Below are 27151 nucleotides of genomic sequence, written 5' to 3' on the forward strand. Positions count from 1 at the left end.
GGCTGAGGCATGAGAATCACTTGAATCCAGGAGGCAAAGGTTGCAGTGAGCCCATATTGCATCACTGCACTTCATCCTGGGCAACAGAGTGAGACCCTGTCTCAAACAAAACAAAACACCAACAGGCTGAGCACGGGGGCTCACACCTGTAATCCCAACACTTTGGGAGGCCGAGGCAGGTGGATTACTTGAGCCCAGGAGTTTGAGACCAGCCTGGCCAACACGGCAAAACCCCATCTCTACTAAAACTACAAAAATTAGCCGGGTGTGGTGACGCAAGCCTGTAATCCCAGCTACTTGGGAGGCTGAGGCAGAAGAATTGCTTAAACCTGGGAGGTGGAGATTGCAGTGAGCCGAGATCACGCCACTGCACTTCAGCCTGGGTGACAGAGTGAGACTCCATCTCAAAAAAAAAAAAGGGTGGGGGGGAGGATGAGAAAACTGGGAGATGATGGATATGTACCATTATCTTGATAGTTGTTTTACGCAAATGTCAAAACTCATCAAAGTGTATACATTAAATATGTGTAGGTTATCACACGTCAATTATATATCAGGAAAGCAATTTTTAAATATCTTCATTTCTGTGAAGACAATTCTTTTATCACTACTAGGAATGTTTCATGGGGTCAAGGAGGTCATAGAAACAAATAGAATGGAAGGGTGGTAGAATAGAAAGGGTGCTAATGTACATCAATGAAACTTCAATATGAAATATATAGGTCCAAAATGCTACTCAAGAAAAAAAACATTATGGCAATCACCTGTTTAAGCTTCCTGATTAGTTCTCGAAGTTGAGCTTCCACACGAAATGCAGAAAATAAGCACCTCCAATGAATCCAGTGTTTTTGGCACCATGAAGCTGGAGCTCCACTGCAAAACAAAAAACTGGTATCTTTAAAATATCTTCTCTAAGTAAAAGACAATCTAAAATTCTCATTTCTATTACAAAAGTGGAAACCCATAAACAACTGTCAGTTCCTTCAGGAGACCTGTCCAAGTACTAAAAAAGAATTTTAGGAAACTTGAAAAAAACATTTAAATTAATGAATGTGCCCCTGACTAAATTAAAAAATAATTTGTAAATGGATTTCTTTACTTATATATGCAATAACAAATATCCAATCATTTTTTAATCTAGGCTACCTATATAGAAGCAAAATTCTACAAGGTCATTTTCAGTAAAGGTTTGAGGAGGAAACAAGAGAATCAATGTTATATAATAAATGCCTACTAAGCAATAGTCATCTGACATAGATAATTTCACTGAAATTCAAAATACCTTGAAGTCAATATCATCTTCACTGAACGTTAGTGTCACAAGCCACATCATAAGTACGTATTGGAACTACACATCAAATTGACATTTTTCAGGACAAAGGACTACCTTACATACCTTGATTTGCATTGTTCAAAGATGACAGCTAAAGTTGCAAAGTCATTAAATCCTCCAGCTTTAGCTGCCAATTCTCGATGTCTCTGTTCTGCTTCCTTCTGGTACTCTGGATCAACTAAAAGAATTGGAGAGGCAATTCAGTTATACTTTGCATTAAGTGCCTACAATCACTTTGCTTTCAGAAACTCATTAAAATCTGCCTCATCCTCTGGGGTGAAGTAAGGTAGAACTATATTAACTCTTCTTAACTTCTCTTAGGAAGCTCTATTTCTCCCACAATTCCTTTTTTTCTTTTCATATCACTTTGGAGATTTTACCTGAATAGCAACATCACTTCTCCCAATCTATTTGCCTTTTAAAAATAGTATTTGTAATTTACTTTTTAAATTAGTTTTGTTATAAGAGTAATCCATGCTTACAGAAAAAAAAATGTAATGGTATAAAAGAATATCATGTAAAAGTTCAATGTTCCCCAGTCACACTACCCATAAACCAATCCTCAAGGCAAAGTACTGTTCATTATTTAGTGTGTGTCCTTCCAGGTAATTTCTATGTATATATAAGCATATGTACATAATGTTTCATTTTTCTATAAATGGAACATATAATCTGAAAATTTGTTTATTTAATAACAACTCCATATCAGTACACATAAAATTATTCTCTCTCAAAAACAGCAATATAGGGCCAGGTGTGGTAGCTCACACCTGTAATCCCAGCAATTTCAAAGGCCAAGGCAAGTGGATCAATTGAGCCCAGGAGGTCAAGACAAGCCTAGGCAACAAAGCAAGATCCTGTCTCTACAAAAAATACAAAAATTAGCCAGGCATGGTGATGCATGCCTGTAGTCCCAGCTACTCAGGAGGCTGAGGTGGGAAGATCGCTTGAGCCCAGGAGGTTTGTTTTTTTTTTTGAGACGGAGTCTCGCTCTATCGCCCAGACGAGTGTAGTGGGCGATCTCGGCTCACTGCAAGCTCCGCCTCCCGGGTTCACACCATTCTCCTGCCTCAGCCTCCCGAGTAGCTGGGACTACAGGCGCCCGCCACCGCGCCCGGCTAATTTTTTGTATTTTTAGTAGAGACGGGGTTTCACATGTTAGCCAGGATGGTCTCGATCTCCTGACCTTGTGATCTGCCCGTCTCGGCCTCCCAAAGTGCTGGGATTACAGGCATAAGCCACCGTGCCCGGCCCAAGCCCAGGAGGTTGAGGCTACAGTGAGCCGTGATCGCATCACTGCGCTTTGGCCTGGGCAACAGAGTGAAACCTTGTCTAAAGAAAAAAACAATGATACGGTATTCCCCAGGAGTATGGGGAACATAACACAATTTAACCAGTTCTTATTTATCCAATTCCCAATTATGGGCAATTAGACATGATCTCCATATATGCAGAACTGACCTACTACGAACATTTTCTTTTTTAATGTAATATTGAAGTATAATATGCATACAGAAAATTACACAGGACGTAAGTGTGTAGCTCATATAATATTCACAAACACAACATACCAATGTACCCAGATCAACAAACAGTATCACCAGCATCTCAACAGCCCCCTTTTATGCCCTCCTTCGAGTAACTACCCATTCCCTTCCACAAGAATAACTATATCCTGACTTCTAATCCTACAGATGGGTTTTGCCCATTTTTAACCTTTGTATAAATGAATCGTATAGTATGTACTTGATGTGTCTGTTTTCTCTTGCTCAACATTACGTTTTTGAGATTTATCTGTTAATTACTTCGATACCACTTCCCCTGATCCCATTCAGGACTCATGTGCTCTCTGATTGCCCAAATTCCCCATACAGCACTTTATCCAGGGCTAATCTTTCAGAGTGCCATTTTTTCAAAACTGCATAGGGATCCTTTCCTTCAATCTAACACGTCACATCACAATTCCTATTCCCTATACCTATCACAGCTAGATCTAGCAGAGGCACAATGTTGCCTGAATCCAGGGAGCAGCATTTACTATAGAATACGATGTGAAACTGCAAAGCAGCAGTTCCTGTTACTAGGAGGAAAGTAATTTGATTAAAGAAAACACTGATGAAGGTATAAAGTCTTCTATCCCATGCTTTAAGTAGCTTCCAACTATGTTACCTAGGTAGCAACTGAATGAAGCAGCTAGAGACAAAAAAAAAAAAAAGAATACGATTTATCTCAGACCATACAAACATACAAATGACCCTGGTAAGGAAAAGATATAAATGATTATTAATCTCCATTTCTTGAACTGCTCCGGGAGACTAATTTTGTTTTTTGTTTTGTTTTTTGAGACAGTCTCGCTCTGCTGCCCAGGCTGGAGTGCAGTGGTGCAATCTTGGCTCACTGCAACATCCACCTCCCAAGTTCAAGTGACTCTCCTGTCTCAGCCTTCCAAGTAGCTGGGACTACAGGCACACACCACCACACCCAAATAATTTTTACATTTTTTAGTAGAGATGGGGTTTCACCATGTTGGCCAGGTTGGCCTTGAACTCCTGACCTCAGGTGATCTGCCTGCCCTGGCCTCCCAGAGTGCTGGGATTACAGGCTTGAGCCAACACGCCAGCCAGGGATACTAATTTTTAACCCAAAATATTTCATTTTAAGCACCTAACTGCCATCCCCCAGAAGATATCATGCCAAAAGTCAAATTGCCCTAGACTCCAGCATCGACCCCATCCTGGCTCTCAATACCAGGAGAAAAGCCTACCTGTGAGTCAGTGCCTCCTGGAATCCCTAGAATCATGGCACCATGCAGTCTGTGTTTGCATGCATTTTTGATAAATTTTAACTTTTTATAATAGATTTGTGTATATTTTATGGTAGTAAATTATAAAACAGACTAGTACTGGAACAGGAATTAAAAGAAATTAAAGACTTTATAAGCAAAAACTCAGTTGTATGTAAGAAAACCCAATTCCCCGAGGAAGAGAAAGAGCTGGAGTCCTTTAAAATTAACTGCCTGTTTTTCTCTCTGTGGCTAGTGAGCCTTATCTCACCCCTTCCCAGGCATTGTGAAGACTCTCGAGCTGTGCAGCTTCAAGGTCACTAGACAGATAATCTCAAGTCGTAAAACATGTTGTTCCTTGAAAAGTAAGAAATAATGTAATGCACGTCTTAATTAAATAACTGTCTTTGTTTCTCACTTCTGTAATATGCTTCCCCCTGCACAGATCTCCCCCCGCCCCACGAAATGCTTAAAAGGTAGCTTGACTCTTTGTTCAGGGCTCAGTCCTTTGGATGTTAATCCAACTGGGTTGGTGCACCTAAATAATTAAATAACTCCTCCTCAACCCCTCGGTCTCTCTGATTCCTTAATTATCCTGCAGCATTTCCTACACATAGTTTATGTTTTCATGACATACTTTTTCTTAATTTTTTTGGTATTTCCAGGCTACGGAGTTCATCTGTGAGTTTTTTCAAAGTGTCACAAATCTCCAAAAACTTTTCCAATATATTTATTGAAAAAAATTGGCCGAGTGCATGGCTCACGCCTGTAATCCCAGCATGTTGGGAGGCCGAGGCAGGAGGATCACCTGAGGTTGGGAGTTCGAGACCAGCCTGACCAACATGGAGAAACCCCATCTCTACTAAAAATACAAAATTAGCTGGGCATGGTGGCACATGCCTGTAATCTCAGCTACTCGGGAGGCTGAGGCAGGAGAATTGCTTGAATCTGGGAGGTAGAGGTTGCGGTGAGTTGAGATTGTGCCGCTGCACTCCAACCTGGGCAACAAGAGCAAAATTCTGTCTCAAAAAAAAAAAAAAAACAAAAAAACAAAAAATCTACAAATAAGTAGACCTGCACAGTTCAAACCTGTGTGTTCAAGGGTCAACTGTATTGGGAATGGTGATGTGAGGAGTTAGGTAAAACTTCTTTTCTAGAGAGACATCTATTAAACTAGTCAAAATTACCAAAGACAATCATTCAAAGTCTCTGGAGATTGATTAAAATGCTTAAGACAAGCCTAATCTATGGAATTCGGTAAGGACAGTAGGAAGAATGCCCCACTCTCAACAGCTGTGTGTGTGGAAGGGCTATGCGAGAGCCTTCAAGGCAGCCTGAAAGCGGCACCCTTTCCCTGACTCCTAAATGCTACTCGGTAGGGAAGATCAAAGCATAACAGCTAATGACAGCCTACGCTGTCCTCTATTCCCCACAGCTCTGTGTTGCAGAAGAGTTGTTCCAATGGGTTCAGCAGCTCAGTGGTAGTTCCCACTACTCCCAGTTTCCTAGAGCTATTCCAGGTTTGTATGTTTGCAACTAGTGAACATCCAGAGATTGCATCTCAAAAGGCTTTGTGCTGAGGAAGATGCAAAGTGAGCCATAGTATCAGCTCCTAACTCCCCAACCCCAAGCTTCTGCTATTTAGGGAGGACCCAGATAGGAGAGCCACTGAAGAACAGGCCCCCATTACCACCACCACCCTCTCCAACTCCTGCTCCATAGCACAGAGATTGTTTCCAGGAAAGGATGGGGAAAGGATTATCAAAGACGGGCAATACCTTGCCCCTGCCGAGGTGCCCAACTTTATTTGGATCAAGACTATGGCGCAATTTATGCTCTGGGCACTGTCAAAAACAACAGAGCCAGCAGCTAGCAATCAGTGGAGACTAACAGCTTGCTGTGACACCAATAGAGACAGACCAGCCAAAAATTCAATGAAGAAATCAATGAAGGAAACAGAGACCTGCTAAGAGCATAGTCTTCCTGGTGTTCTAGAAGATTGTTCTCATGCCCAAAGCTGTGCCTTCTGAGAAGTAAATAGAGAGGGAACGTCTGAGCCTCTACTCCTTGGCTGAACACAGTACAAATTCATCAACTCCCTCAACCATGAAAGTAGTCTCCTAACCAGAAACACAGATTCAACAGTAAAAGGTGAAAACATCACTGGCTTAAATTAAAAGGCTTAGCTAGGTACAACCTCCGACCAATCACTGACTGACCGCTGGAGTTGACAAGGACAAGAAACAAAATGGAAACTGCCATAGAGGGGCTCAACAGTAGATCTGGGCTGGCAGAAGAAAGAATCCACGAATTAAAGTTTTTTTTTTTTTTTTTGTTTTAATTTAAGACAAGGGGCCGGGCATGGTGGCTCACTCCTGTAATCCCAGCACTTTGGGAGGCCAAGGTGGGCGGATCACCTGAGGTCAGGAGGTCAGGAGTTTGAGACCAGCCTCCAACATGGCAAAACCTCGTCTCTACTAAAATTACAAAAATTAGCCAGGCATGGTGATGCAAGCCTGTAATCCTAGCTACTTGTGAGGCTGAGGAAGGAGAATTGCTTGAATCCAGGAGGTGGAGGTTGCAGTGAGCCAAAATCATGCCACTGCACTCCAGCCTGGGCGACAGAGCAAGACTCCGTCTCAAAAATAAAAAGACATGGGCAAAATATTTTAAAAGACATCACAAAGGAAGACAGAAAAATGGCCAATAAGCACATGAAGAAGTGCTCAACATTATTAGTCATCAGGAAAATGCAAATTAAAACCACAAAGAGGTACATAATAGAATGTGTAAAATAAAATGATTGGCAATACCAAATGTTGAGAGGGGTGTTTAGTGCAAGCTGTACTCTCAAACATTGCTGATGTGATTTTTAAATGGTACAACTGTTCAGGGAAAAGGTTTGGCAGTTTCTTAAAGATTCACATATACCTACTCGATGGCACAGCAAATTTCTTTCTTAGGCATTTACCTTATCTAAGAAAAATGAAAATAAACACCTTCAAATTTTTGTGCAAGAATGTTCAAAACAACTTTACTCAAAAATAGAACTAAACAAGAAGCAATTCAAATGTCCATCAACAGGATAATGCACAACTGTATGTTCATAAAGTGGAATACTAGTCAACAATAAAAAGAATAAAGTATTCATACATACAACAATATGAATAAACCTTAACATACATTATGTTGACTGAAAGAAGCCAGACACAAGAAAGGAGAGTGTATAATTCTATTTATATGAAGTTTTGGGCTGGGCACAATGGCTCACACCTGTAATCCCAGCACTTTGGAAGGCTGAGGCCGACGCTGATGGATCACCTGAGGTTATGGGTTCGAGACCAGCCTGGCCAACATGGCAAAACCCCGTCTCTACTGAAAATACAAAAATTAGCTAGGCATGGTGTCGGGGACCTCTAATCCCAGCTACTCCAGAGGCTGAGGCAGGACAACTGCTTGAACCCAGGAAGTGAAGGTTGCAGTGAGCCGAGATTGTGCCACTGCACTCCACCCTGGATGACAGAGCAAGACTCTGTCTCAAAAGAAAAAAAAAATTCTATTTATATGACGTTTCAGAAGAGGCAAACTAATCAGAAAAAAATAAGAAAAGTGTTTAACCAAAGGTAGGTAGAGTGATATCTGACTAAGAAGTGGCACTGAGGGAACTTGCTAGTGATAAAAATGTTCTATATATTGACAGGGCTTGGGTTACATGGGTATAAGCATTTTACAGAATTCATTGAATTATACACCTAAAATTTATGCATTTCACTATATGTAAATTTTACCTAAAATTAACTGTAAACAAATATCAAACTGTAGTTATATAGGGTTGTTTTTCACAGTACTATAACTTACCAATTCTCAAACTACTTTCTGTAGATTCTAGGGAAAATGGACAATTTCAATATGGATTCTGGATTAGATAGTAATATTGTATCAAAGTTAAATTTCCAAACTTTAGGCCGGGCATAGTGGCTTACACCTGTAAACCCAGCACTTTGGGAGACCAAAGCAGGAGGATTGCTTGAGCCTAGGAGTTTGAGACTAACCTGGGCAACATGGGGAGACCTCATCTCTACAAAAAATTTTTAAAAATTAGTCAGGCATGGTAGCATATGCATGTGGTCCCAGCTACTAAGGAGGCTGAAGTGGAAGAATTGCTTGAGCCCGGGAGGTCAAGGCTGCAGTGAGCCATGATCCCACCACTGCACTAACTGCCTGGGCAACAGAGTGAGACTCTCTCTCAAACAAAACAAAACAATTTCCTAATTTTGATTAATGTACTATGGTTAAATGAGAGATTGCCCTTGTTCTTGCCTAATACAGATGTAAATATTTTGTGGTAAGGGAGCACAATGCTTCCAATTTATTCTTAAATGATTCAGAAAAAGAAAAAAATCTGTTTATATATACATATATAGAGGGAGACAGAGTAATAAAGCAAAGGGGGTAAAATGTTAAAAATTGCGGAAACTGCATAGAAGGTATAAAGGAATTCCTTTGCTATTCTTATTTGAAATTATATAAGAATAAATGTCACCCAAAAAAGGCTAACACCACACTGATTTTATCTATTTAAATATTCCAACATGGAAAAAACATTTTTCTTTTTCTAGCCTTAAAAGACTATTAGAGTTGGTCACCTTAATCCAACTTCTTGGTTTTACAAATGAAAAATGAAATCTAGAAAAGCTAGGGCCATGGTCAGATAATTAGGTAGTAGTGGAGCTGGACAGAACCCTGCACTCTTAACTCCTACTTCAATACTCTGTAATAGGTTTTGAAATATTTTAGCTTGTTTATTTCTTTCTTTCTTTTTTCTTTTTGGGGATGGAGTCTCACTCTGTCACCCAGGCTGGAGTGCAGTGGCACGATCTCAGCTCACTGCAACCTCCGCCTCCTGGATTCAAGCAATTCTCCTGCCTCAGCCTCCCCAGTAGCTGGCAACACAGGTGCACGCCACGCCTGGCTAATTTTTATATTTTTAGTAGAGACAGGGTTTCACCATGTCGGCCAGGCTGGTCTCAAACTCCTGACCTCAGGTGACCCACCTGCCTCAGCCTCCCAAAGTGCTGGGATTACAAGTGTGAGCCACCACACCTGGCCTATTTTTTAATTTCTTATCAGAGATGGGGTCTTGCTATGTTGCCCAGGCTGGCCCTGATCTCGTGGGCTCAAGCAATCATCCCACCTCAGTCTCCCAAGGAGCTGGGATACCACTGTGCCCACTGGTATTTTTAGCTCTGATACTGCCTCATGAAAACCAGTTAACATTACTTATTTTTATACAGCATTTTATTAGAACAAAAAATTGCAATTAGGGGTATTACTAGAATTAAAATTCTGACACTTCAGACTGCAACTGCTGGGTGCAATGGCTCAGGCCTGTAATCCCAGCATTTTAAGAGGCCAAGGCTGGTGGGTCACTTGAGCTCAGGAGTTCGAGACCAGCCTGGGCAACAGAGTGAAACCCCATCTCTATAAAAATACAAAAAATTAGCCAGGCATAGTAGCAAGCATCTGTGGTCCCAGCTGCTGGGGAGGCTGAGGTATGGGAGGATCACTTGAGCCTGGGAGGCAGAGGTTGCAATGAGCCAAGATCACGCCACTGCACTCCAGCCTGGGCAACACAGTGAGACCTTGTCTCAATAAAATTTAAAAATTTTTTAAATTAAAAAAAAAAAGACTGCAAACTATTTGAAACAGTATATTGATTAGAGTATTTTTATAGAAAAATGTATCCTCCATTATAATCATGGCAATAATAAATTAATCTGGACCCGACACTTCCAGCCTACAAAGGTATAAAGCCAGTGAGCTAACCCATTCTGTTGTCTGGCTGCAGACAAGGTATACTGTTCACTTGGAAGCTCCTTGAAAGAAAAAATTACTCCACTGCATGAAAACAAATCTAACATATGTCAAATTAAATTGTGTCCTATACTGACACACCAAGAAAAGAAAGAAGCAGAAGTTTAAAGACCTGGAAACTTCAAAAGAATTCTCTAAGGATGCAAGGGCTAAACTACCTTTTCTTTTGATCCTACAAAAAAAAAATTAGTAAATTACTAACGTACTATAAAAGCACTATCTTCCTTTACTAATGAAAGGAAATTAACGCCGGGCTGGGCGTGGTGGCTCATGCCTGCAATCCCAAGGCCGAGGTAGGCAGATCACCTGAGGTCAGGAGTTCCAGACCAGCCTGACCAACGTGGTGAAACCCCATCTCTACTAAAAATACAAAAATTAGCCAGGCGTGGTGGCCCATGCCTGTAATCCCAGCTACCTGGGAGGCTGAGGCAGAAGAATCGCTTGAACCTGGGAGGAGGAGGTTGCAGTGAGTCCAGATCACACCATTGCACTCCAGCCTGGGCAACAAGAGTGAAACTCCATCTCAAAAACAACAACAACAAAACTTGTTTATCCTTAGTTTTCTGTCCTAGGGCTAAGGCACGGTAAACCCTCAGTAAATGCTCAATGAATTACTGGCAATCTAAATAAATGAAGAGATATTCCATGTACATGGATAGGAAGACAATACTGTCAAGATGTCATTTCTTCGCAACTTAATCTATCTTAATTAAAACATAATCCCAATTAAAATCCCAGCAAGGGCCGGGCGCGGTGGCTCACGCCTGTAATCCCAGCACTTTGGGAGGCTGAGGCGGGTGGATCACAAGGTCAGGAGATTGAGACCATCCTGGCTAACACAGTGAAACCCTGTCTCTACTAAAAATGCAAAAAATTAGCCGGGCGTTGTGGCAGGCGCCTGTAGTCCCAGCTACTCGGGAGGCTGAGGCGAGAGAACGGCACGAATCTGGGAGGCAGAGCTTGTAGTGAGCCGAGATCAGGCCACTGCACTCCAGCCCGGGTGACAGAGCAAGACTCCATCTCAAAAAAAAAAAAAAAAAAATCCCAGCAAGTTCAGCAAGTTATTTTGTGGATTTCAACAGACTGGTTCTAAAGTTTATATGAAAAAGACCCAGAATGGCCTAAACAATTTTGAAGAGGAAGAACAAAACTTCAAGAGTTACTATAAAGCTCCAATAACCAGGACAGTGTGGTATTGGTGGAAGAACAGACAATCAGATAAATGGAACAAGATACAGAGCCCAGAAACAGACCCATATAAGAATAGTCAGCTGATATTTAACAAAGAAGCGAAGGCATTTCAACAGAAAAAGGACAGTGTTTTGAACAAATGGTACCGCAACAACTGTGCGTCCAAATACTAAAAGACAATAGAAGAGAAAATCTAGATGACTTTGGGTACGACAATGACTTTTTTAGATACAACAATAAAGACACAATCTATGAAAGAAATAATTGATAAGGTAGACTTCGTCAAAAATAAAAACTTCTGCTCTGCAAAAGTCAATGTCAAAACAATTAGAAGATAAACCACAGACTGGGAGAAAATATTTACAAAAGATCTATCTGTTAAATAACTATTTAAAATATGCAAAGACCTCTTAACAATAAGAAAACAACCCGGCTGGGCGTGCTGGCTCACGCCTGTAATCCCAGCACTTTGGGAGGCCAAGGCGGGCAGATGACCTGAGGCCAGGAGTTCGAGACCAGCCTGGCCAACATGGAGAAACCGCGCCTCTACTAAAAATACAGAATTAGCCAGGCGTGGTGGCACATGCCTATAATCCCAGCTAAAACCATATAACACAAAGAGTGATCCCTTTAGTTAATAATAATGTGTCAATATTGGCTCACCAATTGCAACTTATATGTCATACAAATCAAAGATGTTAATAGGAGAAATTGCTGTGGGAGGTTGAGGGGATGAATGTCAACCCTCTGTACTTTCTACTCAATTTTTCTGTAAACTTAAAAATGCTCTAAAAAATAAAGTCTATTAATTTTTTTTTTGGTGTTTTTTTTTTTTTTTTTTAGTAGAGATGGGGTTTTACCATGTTGGTAAGGCTGGTCTTCCAACTTCTGACCTCAAGCAATCCACCTGCCTTGCCCTCCCAAAGTGCTGGGATTACAGGCGTGAGCCACCGTGCCCAGCCAAGTCTATTAGTTTTAAAAAACACAACTTAAAATAAACATCTTACCAGGTCTAATGAAGACGTTTTCCACAGACAACATTGCTGCTATTGGAAGTAGTAAATCTTCACAATCCAGGGAAGCAGCTTTTATTACTGCACATGTCAGATGTGGAGGCAAAGGAAACTCCACCATAGACAAACCCAATCTGGTGACATGGCCACTCCTTAATACAAAGAAAAAGTTTGTAAGTCTTTCTACACTAGGAGAGTACAAATGTAACATTCATCATTCAGAATAAATCAGATATAATTTACATTACCTCCAATCACCTCCAGAAGTTCAATTCAATTTAAGAAAATTAGGCCAGGCGTGGTGGCTCATGCCTGTAATCCTAGCACTTTGGGAAGCTGAGGCAGGTGGATCACCTGAGGTCAGGAGTTCAAGACCTGCCTGGCCAACATGGCAAAACCCCGTTTCCACTGAAAACACAAAAATTAGCTGGGTGTGGTGGCATGCGCCTGTAGTCCCTGCTACTTGGGAGGCTGAGGCAGGAGAATCACTCAAACCCGGGAGGCAAAGGTTGCAAAGCTACTAAGGAGGCTGAGGGGGATTACACCTGTAATCCCAGCACTTTGGGAGGCCGAGGCAGGTAGATCACTTCAGGTCAGGAGTTTGAGACCAGCCTGACCAACATGGTGAAACCCTATCTCTACCAAAATATAAAAAAATTACCTGGGCATGGTGGTGCATGCCTATAATCCCAGCTACCTGGGAGGCTGAGGCAGGAGAATTGCTTGAACCTGGGAGGTGGAGATTGCAGTGAGGTGAGATTGCACCATTGTACTCCAGTCTGGGCAACAAGAGTAAAACTCCGTCTCAAAAAAAAAAAAAGGAAGATGTCTTTGAAGACATGAGAGAATAATAATTTTATTTTTTAAATTTTACCTTTTTTTTTTTTTTTGGAGACAGGGTCTTGCTCCGTCTCCCAGGCTGGAGTGCAATGGCGCAATCTCCTCAGCTCACTGCACCCCTCACCTCCGAAGCTCAGACGATCCTCCCACCTCAGCTTCCCGAGTAGCTGGGACTACTGGCGTGTGCCAACACCATTGGCTAATTTTTGTATTTTCAGTAGAGATGGGTTTTACTATGTTTCCCAGGCTTGTCTCGAACAACTGGGCCCAAGCAATCTGCTCGCCTTGGCCTCCCAAAGTGCTGGAATTACCGGCGTGAGCCACCACGCACATCCAAGAGAATAATAATTATTAATATCAAACCTAACCACCCCATCACACAAACATGAAAACAAGGACTCTGGCTCTCTTATCATTTTTATGTATCCAGCATAATGCTTGGCACTGAAATGGTACTCAGAAATTACTTGTTAAATAATACCAATATTTATTAAACAAAAGGGATTATATCGTGTAGTTTCTTTCTCCTTTTTTTTTTTTTTCAGATAGAGTTTCGCTCTGTTGCCCAGGCTGGAGTGCAGTGGCATGATCTTGGCTCACTGCAAGCTCTGCCTCCCAGGATCACACCATTCTCCTGCCTCAGCCTCCTGAGTAGCTGGGACTACAGGCGCCCACCACCACGCCCAGCTAATTTTGTTTTTGTATTTTTAGTAGAGACGGGGCTTCACCATGTTAGCCAGGATGGTCTCGATCTCCTGACCTCATGATCCACCGACCTCGGCCTCCCAAAGTGCTGGGATTACAGGCATGAGCCACAGCGCCCGGCTGGTTTTTCAATCAGAATTGTGATGAAAGACTAACAATCCATTCAATTTAAAGAAATTATTTTCTACTGTTAGAGAAAGGTATTTAGAGCCCTGTTTAAAAGGAGATCAATATCTGTTTTGATTGTGATTTTTTTTTTTTTTTACCTGTCAATAGCATCACACTGGTAAAGCTGTTTAAGAGCTTCTAAAATAAGTCTCTCATTAGGTGGATCCAAATAGGGAAACCTGTGTGTTTAAATAAGATATGAAGTGAGAGGCATTCCTTGAACATGGTAGGATTTTATATAGATATGACGAAAATTTCTTTAAAAGGTTTTATTTCTATTTTTCAAGTCATCTTTTTCTAAAAAAAAATTATATGATCATGATCAGCATTTGGCAAAAGAGGAAATAATTTTTTTCTGAATCACACTCCTCTACTTCAAGAAGTGATTCTTTTTGACTCCCCTTAGCTGAAATACTCTCACCAGTCTACTTATCCTAATCCTGCCCCACCCATCCTTCACAGCCTATGTCAAGTCTACTCTTTTCTGCAGTCCATAATTTTTTTCCAAACTTTTATAAAAATAGTAGAGAAATATTAATAGTAGAGAAGTATTAATAGTAGAGAAATATTAATTAGTACTGAAAATTATAAATTGTTCAATAGTACCTCAAAATGCTTTTTTTTGGAGATGGAGTCTCACTCTGTTGCCCAGGCTGGAGTGCAATGGCACGATCTCTGATCACTGCAACCTCCATCTCCCAGGTTCAAGCAATTCTCCTGCCTCAGCCTCCCGAGTAGCTGGGACTACAGGCACATGCCACCACGCCTAGCTAATTTTTTGTATTTTAGTAGAGACAGGGTTTCACCATGTTGCCCAGGCTGGTCTTGAACTCCTGTGCTTAAGCAATCCGCCCACCTCGGCCTCCCAAAGTGCTAGGATTACAGGCGTGAGCCACCGCACCCAGCCTCAAAATGCTTCTTAAATTCAATTTAATTTTTTTTTTTTTTTGAGACGGAGTCTCACTCTGCTGCCCAGGTTGGAGTGCAGTGTGGCAATCTCGGCTCACTACAACCTCCGTCTCCTGGGTTCAAGTGATTCTCCTGCCTCAGCCTGCTGAGTAGCTGGGATTACAGGCACCTGCCACCATGCCCAGATAATTTTTGTATTTTTAGTAGAGGCGGGGTTTCACCATATTGGTCAGGCTTGTCTCAAACTCCTGACCTCAGGTGATCCACCCACTTCAGCCTCCCAAAGTGCTGGGATTACGGGCGTAAGCCACCGCACCCGGCCGGACAAAATGCTTTCATATAAATGGGGAAATATATTCAATTAATTTAGCCATATTTGTGTCACATATGTGTACATGTGTATGTACTTATTTTCTGCCAAACTATCTCAGAATAAGTTGCAAATACAATGCCATTGCACACTTACAACTATCTCGGCATGCATCTCCTGAAAATAAGGACATTCTCTTACATCACCATAATGCGCTATTAATAAATATAATAAAATTAACAATTAACAATAATATTCAAAAGGGATAGCATCATCAAACATGAATATATATTTTTTAAAAACAGGAAAAATAATTACTTGATATCATCTGCACTGGGTTATTTTTTCCACCTTAAATCTGGATATGAAAAATCATCTACTCCAACTTCTCACCTTGAAAAAAATCCAATAGAAGACAAAAGGTCCAATACCTTATATAAAATGTCCATTCCAGGATTGATAACCCTATTTAAAAATAAATAAATAAAACAAGGCCAAGGATGGTAGCTCACGCCTATAATTTCAGCACTCTGGGAGGCTGAGGCAGGAGGACTGCTTGAGCTCAGGAGTTTGACAACAGCCTAGGCAACACAGCAAGATCCCATCTCTTATAAAAAGAAAAAATAATAAGCAAACAATAATCTCTTACACTGTTCTACTGCCAGCTTTCCTACAATTTGTACCAATAGGTCCTGGTAGCTTCTACAGCAAGAATTGGTAAACATTTTCCGTAAAGGGCCAGATAGTAAATAGCTTAGGCTTGCAGGCCATATGGTCTCTGTCACAATTACTCAACCATGCTATTACAGTGAAAGCAGCCACACATAAACAAATGGGTATGGCTGCATTCTAACATTTTATTTACAAAAACAGTCAGTGAGATTAGACCACAGTTTGCCACCCTTGTGCTAGAGCAATACCAAACCAGTCAGCTGCTTCTTCTATATAAAAGGAAAAACTACTTATTCTAAAATATTGCAATTAATTTCCCCCCTTGATTCCTCCAATTACCAATTCTGTCAACCACTCCTTATAAGTTACTTGGTTTCTAAGAGATCTACCATACCTAAGTACCATTCTCTAAAAACACTAGTATGTCAAACTCCTCATAAAACTTGATTATATCCAAAACTGAACTCCAAATGTTGAGTGACCAACACATAACAGGAATGCTGTAATTCCCCATCACCTAGTTTATTAATGTAACCAAAGTCTATGCCAGTGGAATTAAAAAAAAAATTTTTTTTTTTGAGACAGAGTCTTGCTCTGTCGCCCAGGCTGGAGTGCAGTGGTGCGATCTGGGCTCACTGCAAGCTCCGCCTCCCGGGTTCACGCCATTCTCCTGCCTCAGTCTCCCGAGTAGCTGGGACTACAGGCGTCTGCCACCACACCCAGCTAATTTTTTGTATTTTTAGTAGAGACGGGGTTTCACTGTGTTAGCCAGGATGATCTCCATCTCCTGACCTCGCAATCCGCCCACTGTGGCCTCCCAAAGTGCTGGGATTACAGGCGTGAGCCACCGCACCCGGCCTAAAAAAAAATTTTTTAAACAGAGCCATACGTATAAGCCAATATTAAGGTTGTGATGATCTGATAATTTCAGATCTCTACCACATGTATTTGCTATTGTACATCCCAAACACAGGATATAAGATATATCCTTTCAAATTTACACCCTGTTGATTTTTGCCCATGGTTCTAATCTGTTAAAGTCATTTTAAAGCTTGGTCATCTACCTATTAGATATTAAGATATTTTCCAGAAAAATATAATCATAACTTCAATATTTTTATTCAGTATCATTAAAAATGTTTATCAAGAAAAAACTAAGTTCAGCACAATACCAGTAAAAACTTCATCTAGTCTACACTAAGCAATTAATTAATACTTTTCTAGACTGGGCTATCTGGCAACTATACTCAGCAGTACTGTCATCTACAGACTACTTTTTTATTCACAAGATATCAAATGCAGTATTGTTAAATACTGTGCTGAAAATAAAAGACATTAGGTTAAATTTCAATAAATTCTTGTGGAGCACCCATTATGTGGACGGTCCTGTCCTCAAACTGAAAAGGAAATGGCTTATAATGACATATTTGGCCGGGCATGGTGGCACACGCATGTAATCCCAGCTACTCAGAAGGCTGAGACACGAGAATCGCTTGAACCTGGGAGGTGGAGGTTGCAGTGAGCTGAGATTGTGCCACTGCACTCCAGCCCGGGTGACAGAGTGAGATCCTGCCTCAGAAAACCAAAACCAAACACAACAACAACAAAAAATGACATATTCATTGTGAACTTTTAAAATTCATACTCATTAATCGTCATTAAATTTCCTTAAACCATTTTTCAATAAACTGTACTAGAGTTCGCTAGTAATCAATGTCAAGCTTACTGGGTAGTTGTTTCCAGAACCCGCCCTTTTTACCAAATGAAAAAAATTAAGACTTTTGCCTTTCTCACCATTTTCTGATAACGTATTCTGCATAATTTCTCATAGATGACCTACAGTGACTCTGACGCTAAATCTGCAAGTTCTTTTAACACCACGGAAATAATGTCTAAATGCTCAAGACAAAATCACTTATGGTGGTAGGTTTTCCCTCATTATTTCCTTCCACCTTAGTCATCAATTCCTTCTTATTCAGACCTGTTCTTGCATTTTCAGCTTTAAAATTATTCTTCCTGATGGAAAAGAAAGGGAAAGCAAAATAATAATTGAGAAGGTCCATTTTCTTTCTGTCGTCTATGAATCCTATACCATCTACCCCAAACACTGGCTCTACCTCTCCTTATTCTTTATACAACTTTTTAAAAAGGAAGTCTTTGTTTTTTGTTTCAAGCATTTTGAAACAAAATTTTGCGATTTTTAGTACACTATGGCTTTTAAGACTTAAGATGGAAAAATAATTCAATGCAGATGATATTAATTATTGTTCCTATTTTTCTAATATATACTCATTCTTGGTTAGAGGCTGCTCTGCTATCCTTTGTGAATATACTAAGAGTCAATGTCAAACTTACTGAGCAGCTATTTCCAAAAATGGCCCTTTTTCCCCAAATGAAAAAAATCAAGACATTATTTTAATATCTGGGTTCATCTGAAAGTTTTCTATTGGGCTCTTTGGATTTCTTTAAATGGCGCTTTCCTTCTTTTCATTGGTATAATTTATTGCTACAGTCAGAATTTCATTTATTACATGCTTTTCTCTTTCCAGTATCTACATATTCTCATTCAGAAAATCTCTAGTCTAATGATAACTATCAAAACATTTTGAAATTGGCAAATTGGCTTTCCAAGAGTATACAATGAGTATTTGTGGGTTTTGGGGTTTTTTTTGCTTTTTTTGGTTGTTTTTTTTTTGGAGACAGAGTTTCGCTCTTGTTGCCCAGGCTGGAGTGCGATGGCGCAATCTCGGCTCACTGCAACCTCTGCCTCCCGGGTTCAAGTAATTCTCCTGCCTCAGGCTTTCAAGTAGCTGGGATCACAGACGAGCACCACCATCCTGGCTAATTTTGTATTTTTAATAGAGACAGGGTTACACCATGTTGGCCAGGTTGACCTCAGGTGATCCACCCGTCTCGGCCTCCCAAAGTGCTGGGATTACAGGCGTGAGCCACCGCACCCGGCCTACAATACATATTTGGATGCACCTAATAATCACTTACTATGAATTTAAAAACTGCACGGTTACCATCCCCCAAAATTCCTGAGCAGTTTTACATTCCAAGGCAATTAAGACCAAAATAAAGAAGATAGTACTTTCCTCCATTAATTCCCCTACCATGTATGATAGAAATTTCTATCTATAACAATATTCTATCTTATACCAATAAATTATATTAATATTTGGCTAATTTAACTGTTCTTCCTTTATTTCACGTGTCTGAACCTTGTTTTCCTAATATAACTTAAGCTTAGTGAAAGCAAAAAACTACAGAGTATTACTCTGTCTTTCATGGTATATAGTATGATGCTGGCCATACAAAAAAAACACTCCACTTTCCAACTGTATACCCTTTTGTTTTGTTTTGTTTTTTTGAGACAGAATCTCGCTCTGTTGACCAGGCTGGAGTGCAGTGGTGTGATCTTGGCACGTTGCAGTCTCTGCCTCCTGGGTTCAAGTGATTCTCGTGCTTCAGCCTCCGGAGTAGCTGGGACTACAATCACGTGCCACCAAGCTCAGCTAATTTTTATATTTTCAGTAGCTACAGGGTTTTGCCAGGATGGCCAGGCGGGTCTCAAACTCCTGGCCTCAAGGGATCCGCCCACTTTGGCCTCCCAAAGTGCTAGGATTACAGACGTGAGCCACCACGCCCAGCCCCCTTCTTTTGAAACAGGGTCTCACTCTGTTGCCCAGGCTGGACTGCAGTGGTGCAATCATGGCTCACTGCAGCCTCTACCTGCCCGGCTCCAGCAATCTTCCCGTCTCAGCCTCCAAATATCTGGGACTCAAGCATGCACCATATCAGACTTTTTTTTTTTTTTAATTGTAGAGACAAGGTCTCACTATGTTGCCCAGGCTTGTCTCGAAATCCTAGGCTCAAGCAACCCTCCCACCTTGGCCATCCAAAGTGCTGAGATTACAGGCATAAGCTGTTATGCCCAGCTCATTATATACCTTTCATTACAAATAAACAGTGGTCACTAAGTGATCCACATAAACATCAGCACAACCCCCTAACCCCGCCATTAAGCCAAGGTTAAACATGAGCAAGAGATCCTACTAAAGCAATGCAAGGAAGTCTTCTGTGTTAGTTTAGTTGAAAAGCAACCAATAGAGCCAGGCACAGTGGCTCACACCTGTAATCCCAGCATTTTGGGAGGCCGAGGTGGGTGGATCGCCTGAGGTCAGGAGTTCGAGACCAGCCTGACCAACAAGGTGAAACTCCATCTCTACTAAAAATACAAAAATTAGCTGGGCATGGTGGCAGGTACCTGTAGTCCCAGCTACTCGGGAGGCTGAGACAGGAGAATTGCTTGAACCCGGGAGGCGGAGGTTGCAGTGAGCCGTGATCGTGCCACTGCTCTCCAGCCTGGGCAACGGAACAAGACTCCATCTCAAAAAAAAAAAAAAAAAAAAAAAAAGAAAAGAAAAGCAACCAATATAAAAACCAACCTGTAAAAGAGGTTAGCCTCAACTCTCAGGGATGTATCAGTCAAATATTTCAAAATAATTTTTGAGCCAATAACTTGGTTCCAGGCTAACAAGTTTTTCCTTTTTTTTCTAGTTGTCTACATACCTTATGACATCGTGTATGGCAAGGCACTTTAAGGTCAGAACTACAGATGTCAAACTAGTTCTCTTAATTTCAGGGATCACATGGTCAGGCATACACTGGTTCCAAAAATCTTTACTATAGATCCGAAAGCATTTTCCTGAAGAAGTCCTGCCAGCTCGGCCACTTCGCTGTAATGCCTCGCTCCTACAAAAGGAAAAAAACCCAAAAATTCCCCAAAATGTTCTGTGGGTTTCTCAGGTAATTTACTTTGTCTCCCCAAAACAGCTAGAAATTACCTAATCAGTTGTTCTTTGAATAAAAAGATTTGACATAGAGACTTACTTTGAAATTGGAACCACCTCCAGGATGTCCAACCCTAATCTGGGGTTGTGATTTAACTGCTTCACAAAGCCACCATCTACCACATATCTAAGAAGAATCAAAGCAAGTTAAGTTTCTGGAAAATAAAAGAAGACTTGTTAATTGTTAACCACTTTGGTTTCTCCTTTTCTAGCAAACTAGCAGGTACACAATGCCTTTTATGTTAAGTGTAAAACTTGAAAGTCAAGAAATTGGAACCCTCGTATGTTGTTGGTGGGAATGTAAAATGGTTCAGCCGAGGTGGAAAATTGTTCGGAGGTCCTCAAGAAGTTAAACACAAAATTACCATATGATCCAGCAATTCCATTTCTAAGTGTACACCAAAAAGAACTGAGAACAAGTACTCAAACAAATACTTATAGACCAATGTTCATATCAGCACTATGAATCACAGCCATAAGGTAAAAACAACCTAAATGTCCATTAACCATTAATGGAAGAAGGGATGAACAAATTGCTTTGCATATATGTATGTAGTATATATACACACGCATATATACACACACAATGGAATATATATATATATACACACACACACTATGCAATATTATTCAGCCACAAAAAAGAATGAAGTACTGATACATGCTACAATGTGGACGAACCTCAAAAATATTATGCTAAGTGAAAGAAAGCAAACACAGAAGGCCACATATTATATGATTCTATTTGTATGAAATATCCAGAATAGAAAATACCTACTGCTTCCTGCTGACACATCTAAAGAATTTTTTAAAAAAGAAAATACGTACAAACAAAAAGTAAGACTGGTAGTTGCCAAGGGCTGGGGTCGAGAGGGGAATGTGGAGTACCTGCTTAATGGGTATGGGGTTTTATTTTGAGGTGTTGAAATATTTTAGAACTAAGCAGAAGCAGTGGTTGCGCAATACTGTAAATGTACTAAGTACTACTTAATTTTTCATTTTAAATGATTAATTTTATGTGAATTTTGCCTCAATACAAAAATACACAAACTTGAAAGTCAGCTTCAGACCATTTAAACAGATTCAGAATCTAATTTCAACTAGCCCTTAACATGCCATTCTAAGCCAATTAAATGGTGAACAAGTCAGGTAAGGAACCAAAGTAGGATAGCAGTAACAAGACAACATTCTGAAACATGCTATTTAATGGCTTTTGCCTGTGCAGGAAACAGAAAATTACAGAGGTTAATTTACCCAGGAGAGCACTCCCTTAATCCCTTAGTGAAACCATTATTTTTAAAGTAACGAAGAAAAGCAGAGGAAATTAGACTTCCTCTCAGACCTGGGTGATCATTTTACCCAGAAGAAACACACAGGATCTTTGAGATTCAGGTTCAGCCTTCCGGAGACAGACAATCAGACTTAGCTAAAGAAATAAAATATATTCGGTAAATGATAAATAACCCAGTCTTAAAGAACTTTGCATTAGTTGTCAGTCCAGACTTAAAATTTCTTTGTGTTTCCTTACTAAATTTACCCAAAAATTTGATAGCACTATTTACTACATCCAGAAAAGATAAGGGACCTGAATCATAGTTAATTTTCACAAAAAGGTAAAAAGTCAGAGACAATACATCCAGATAAACATTGGATATACAAACTCTACCGAGTGAGGCTGCAAGGTAGAAGGAAATATCAAATCATCTAAGGTATATGCTTATAATGGGAGTACAGAAAAATAGGTTTGGCTTCCTATTTAGTGAAACCCATAAAGCATTATACATAATCTTAAATTTGAAAAGAAGCTTCAAGTTGCCAAGTAGTTAAAAAGTGTGAACAGCCAAGTATGGTGACACATGCCTGTGGTCCCAGCTACCCAGGAGACTGAGGCGGGAGGATTGGCTGATCTCCATACAAGGCTGTAGTGTGCTATGACTGCACGCCTGTGAATAGTCACTATATTCCAGCCTCAGCAACATAATGAGACCCTGTCTCTAAAAAAACAAAAAGTGTGAATAGGAATATAGTATGTACCTCCTACTCCATTTCCTGCTCAAAGCAATCAATAATTACAAAACAAAATAGGTGATTACATGTTAAGAACATCAAAAAGTAGGAGAGAAGGGAATTAGTGGAGGGCACAGAAAAGCAAACTCAGTAATGTTTAGCTAATGTTTAGTAACGATAGGCTTCCTTGACTTTAAGAGAAAGTTCAAAAGTTTTACCTGGTTCCATCTATTGTCAAAGACGTTGCAGAAATATTGGTGGATATGACACATTTTCTAATTCCAGGTGGCGGTGGCAAAAATATCCTCCTCTGTTGATCTAAAGTATATATAAAAAGAAAATACCAATTTACAACATGCATGTGTCAAACTCGAGTTTTGAAGAACTCAATTTTTCATTACAAGTCATGTTTCTAGGCCGGGCGTGGTGGCTCACGCCTGTAATCCCAGCACTTTGGGAGGCTGAGGCGGGAGGATCACAAGGTCAGGATATCGAGACCATCCTGGCTAACATGGTGAGACCCTGTCTCTAAGAAAAATACAAAAAATTAGCAGGGCGTGGGGGCGCGCGCCTGTAGTCCCAGCTACTCGGGAGGCTGAGGCAGGAGAATTGCTTGAATCTGGGAGGCAGAGGTTGCAGTGAGCCAAGATCGCGCCACTGCACTCCAGCCTGGGCGACAGAGCGAGACTCCATCTCAAAAAAACAAAAAAAAAAAAACAGAGGCAACAGAAAATCCAGAACATTATTTTCAATGTAGCAGTAAGAAAGAATGAAATTATTTACTCTGTATAGAAAAATATATGTCTATGTACATATTTAGTTAATGATTAATAACAAACCAAACATAATGGGTTTTTATCAGTTTCAATGTAAATTATAAAAGCATCAGTGAACCAAATCTTGAGAAAACAATGAGAACCTTAAACAATGATCCTAAGAATTTCCCTGAAGATGACAAAATCTAAAATAGATATCTATGCTTTAATAGAGAGTAAGAAGCTAATATCATCATAAAAAAGATTTCCAAAATAGCACATCTATGTTCTTTACTGACACATATATTCCAAAACTTTGTTAATATAGGGATAAGAATCACCCAATCAACAAAAGCTGTTAATACACATACATGTAAAATATAAAAACATTCAAATGCTAATTCCAACTCCAAATAGGAGGCTAAGGTTAATTTCCCTTTAACTTTACAAGTTAAATTCCATAATAAAAGTTTTATAAAACAAATTCTAAACCTCATTCAACAATATTTACTATAACCAAAATGTCAAATCAAGAGTTTGCATTTGCTCTTGGAATTCACCAAAGAACAGGATCATTCTTGAAAAGCAGACTAAGGCATGGCTACTTTAAAAGGAAAATGATCCACAGCCAGGCATGGTGGCTCACATCTGTAATCCCAGCAATTCTGGAGGCCAAGGCAGGCAGATGACCTGAGGTCAGGAGTTTGAAACCAGCCTGGCCAACATGGCAAAATCCCATCTCTGCTAAAAAAAAAAAAAAAAATACAAAACTTAGCCAGGTGTGGTGGCGAGCGCCTGCAATCCCAGCTACTTGGGAGGCTGAGGAAGGAGAATCGCTTGAACCCAGGAGGTGGCGGTTGCAGTGGGCTGAGATTGCGCCACTGCACTCCAGCCTGGATGACAAGAACGAGACTCCATCACAAAAAAAAAAGAAAACAATCCACTGTGTTTAGACTTAGATATAGCTGGATATACACAATTTCTAAAAATTCTGTGGCAATGGCAAATTAGGTTTTGACTTACAGTAATACCAGCAAGAAACTACTGTCCTCATTTCAAAGAATTCTCACCAATAGTTTTGTTTTGCTGGGAGAAACAATACTCTAAACGATAATAAGGGGGATATCCACGACTCTCAAAAAAGTGAATGTAAAAAGACTTCAGGCAAAAATCACTACTGTCAAGGAATGCTGGTTCTCACTGATTTGTTTCATGATCTGGATGTGGGTTACAAAGGTGAGACTGGTTTGTGAAACTTACCTAAGCACTTAAGATCTGACTGCTTTTCTGTAAACACGATTATTCAATAAAAAGTTTTTTAAAAAAATCAAATTTTCTATTCTAATGAGAAATTACCAGTTGTCATTGATCCATAACACGGCAATATTAACAAGCCATCGAGGATGGTATCTTGAACATCATAATCATAATCAACAGACTCTGCCATCTGAAAAAGTAACTCACAACTTTTTTCTATTTCAAACTGGCCTAAAATGGGAAGAAAAAAATAACTTCAGCAACTGAACAGAAAAATTAATTTAAAAATAAAGAAAATGTCAAGATTAAAATTAATTTTGCCTAAAAGTTATTGTAAATCTCTCATTTAATGTAAAGGAGATGAACACATAAGCTGTACCATATTTCAACAATAAAATTCGAAGTAGAAGAAACATCAGTTTCTAAGAAACTTAAATCTCTAAAGGAATAAAAATATTTATCATCGTCAAGCTTTTCACCCTGTATTTGAGAAGACTCACCAAATTGTTAACAAAGGAGAAAAGCTAGTCCAGGTGCTATTGCATTTGGTTAAATTTCAAAATACTTAAGTAATCTCCAAAAAGGCAAAGATTGTGACAATCCCTTACTTCTGACATTAGTACAAGGCAGAGGAAAAAGGTAAACAAGGAAACTACTAATTCCTATTAGGAGGGTGCTGCTACTTGAAAAGTTATGCCACTAGTTTGGGATTTAACTATTTTATTTTTGATCTCCAAAAATGCCACATGCTTGTCTACGACACATAGATTCTACACCTTATGTGTTGTTATCACACAGTACAATGCCACCACCCAAAGAAGAACCTGGTGAAATGTCCTTTGAAATAATGGAATTAACTCAGGTCTGTTTAGTCAGGTTTCATTTCTATCTAAGACAGACCAACAAAAAACAATATTTCACTATTTAATTTCTTTCTATTAAAAGGTCAGTGTGTTTTACATATATTTACTAATGAGCCTGATGTCTTTGACATTTGACATATATGTGTGTGTATATATACATATACACTATTACGTCTTTGACATATACTACTATGTCTTTGACATAAAATATATATACATACTATTATGTCTTTGACATAAATATATATAATCCTCTTTGGCAGCTAGCTTACAATTTTTATCTATCTTTTACCTAAAATTATTCAGATAATCAGAAAAAGCTAGGGCAACACTTGAGAAGGGCACAGAATTCCCAACAGAGGTAGCACTCTATCTGGGTGCCACATTCCTTACTTACAAATACTTAAGTTTTTTAACTTGATACTGAATGCTCACCAGTCAGAAAAACCAAGATGTCTCCAGCCATTTCATTCAAATGGATATCCATGGTGACTTTCACAATCTAAAGCAAGAAATGCAGGCATAATATGCTAGTGGAAATACAGTCATTCCCTTACCACCACTTCCCTTGCCCCACAGAAAAATTAAATTTGGTTCTTAAAAGTTCTAGGACCTGTGAGGACTGTCATTAAAATAGTAGTGAACAAATGAATTATCAAACCACCCAATTAGTAAGAATCATAGATATTTAAAAAAGACATTAAATGAATGCCAAGTAATACCGCTTGAATATACGCAGTATTTTCTCTGTCTCGTGGACCAATCAAATTGCAGAATTTCTCTCTGACTGGATAAAGCCTTCCAGGTATATCAAATATTGGACAATTTCCAAAGAATGCAGAGAGCTTGGCTAATTCCATAGTTGCTGACATTACCACCACTTTTAAATGCTCCTTCCTATTAGCAGACTTCTCCTGAAATAGCTTCTTCAATAGACCAAATAAGATATCCTGAAAGAAAAGTAAATTTCTAGTAAGTCACAAGCACACTTAACAGCCAAACTATTCTAAATACGCTGCTGTTCTAACCAAGGAATTCCTATTTTAATACATTAAAATATAAGTAGGAGCCAGGTGCGGTGGCTCACACCTGTAATCCCAGCACTTTGGGAGGCCAAGGTCGGAGGCCAGGAGGTTGAGACCTGCCAGGGAAACAAAACGAGACACTGTCTCTACAAAAAATATTCTTAAAAATTAGCCAGACATGGTGATGCACGTCTGCAGTACCAGCAACTCAGGAGGTTGAGGTGGGAGGATCACTTGAGCCCAGGAGTTCAAGGGTGCAGTGAGCTATGATCGTGCCACTGCTCTCCAGCCTGGGTGATGGAGCAAGACTCCATCTCTAAAAAATTAAATTAAATTAAAAAGTAAGAGGAGGCAATTCTCTACACAATAAAAAGCTACCCAAACAAACTACTTGCTAATAAAAAATAATAATAAATTAAAATACTCACTGTAGTTAGAGTTCTTTCATGGGCTTCATCCAAAATAATGACTCTGAATTTGGTAAGACTTGGGTCTCCCAGAATATGTTTCAGTAAACATCCATCAGTCATATATTTGATTGCTGTCTCCTAATGTTCAAACAGCAGTGTCACAGGAATTCACCACTATTTT

General features: G+C 39.8%; 1 long non-coding RNA gene and 2 pseudogenes across 2 annotated transcripts in view; 1 reads left to right on the forward strand and 2 right to left on the reverse strand.

Moving 5' to 3' along the window:
- Positions 1-21713, forward strand: part of RNFT1-DT (RNFT1 divergent transcript) — a 31877-nt gene extending 10164 nt beyond the window's left edge. Inside the window, exons 3-4 of the long non-coding RNA NR_110815.1 lie at positions 17629-17720; positions 20361-21713. This is a non-coding gene — a long non-coding RNA (RNFT1 divergent transcript). The remainder of the gene's footprint in view (positions 1-17628; positions 17721-20360) is intronic.
- Positions 1-27151, reverse strand: part of TBC1D3P1-DHX40P1 (TBC1D3P1-DHX40P1 readthrough, transcribed pseudogene) — a 56690-nt pseudogene that overhangs the window by 12897 nt on the left and 16642 nt on the right. The window contains exons 4-12 of the transcript NR_002924.3: positions 26989-27108; positions 26411-26485; positions 25971-26037; positions 22879-22978; positions 20694-20780; positions 14005-14085; positions 12188-12345; positions 1397-1511; positions 765-873 (exon numbers count right to left, since the gene is read on the reverse strand). The product of NR_002924.3 is annotated as a TBC1D3P1-DHX40P1 readthrough, transcribed pseudogene (transcript). The remainder of the gene's footprint in view (positions 1-764; positions 874-1396; positions 1512-12187; positions 12346-14004; positions 14086-20693; positions 20781-22878; positions 22979-25970; positions 26038-26410; positions 26486-26988; positions 27109-27151) is intronic.
- DHX40P1 (DEAH-box helicase 40 pseudogene 1) lies at positions 756-27108 on the reverse strand (annotated as a pseudogene).

Source organism: Homo sapiens, chromosome 17 (assembly GCF_000001405.40).
Source record: "Homo sapiens chromosome 17, GRCh38.p14 Primary Assembly".
Lineage (NCBI taxonomy): Eukaryota > Metazoa > Chordata > Mammalia > Primates > Hominidae > Homo > Homo sapiens.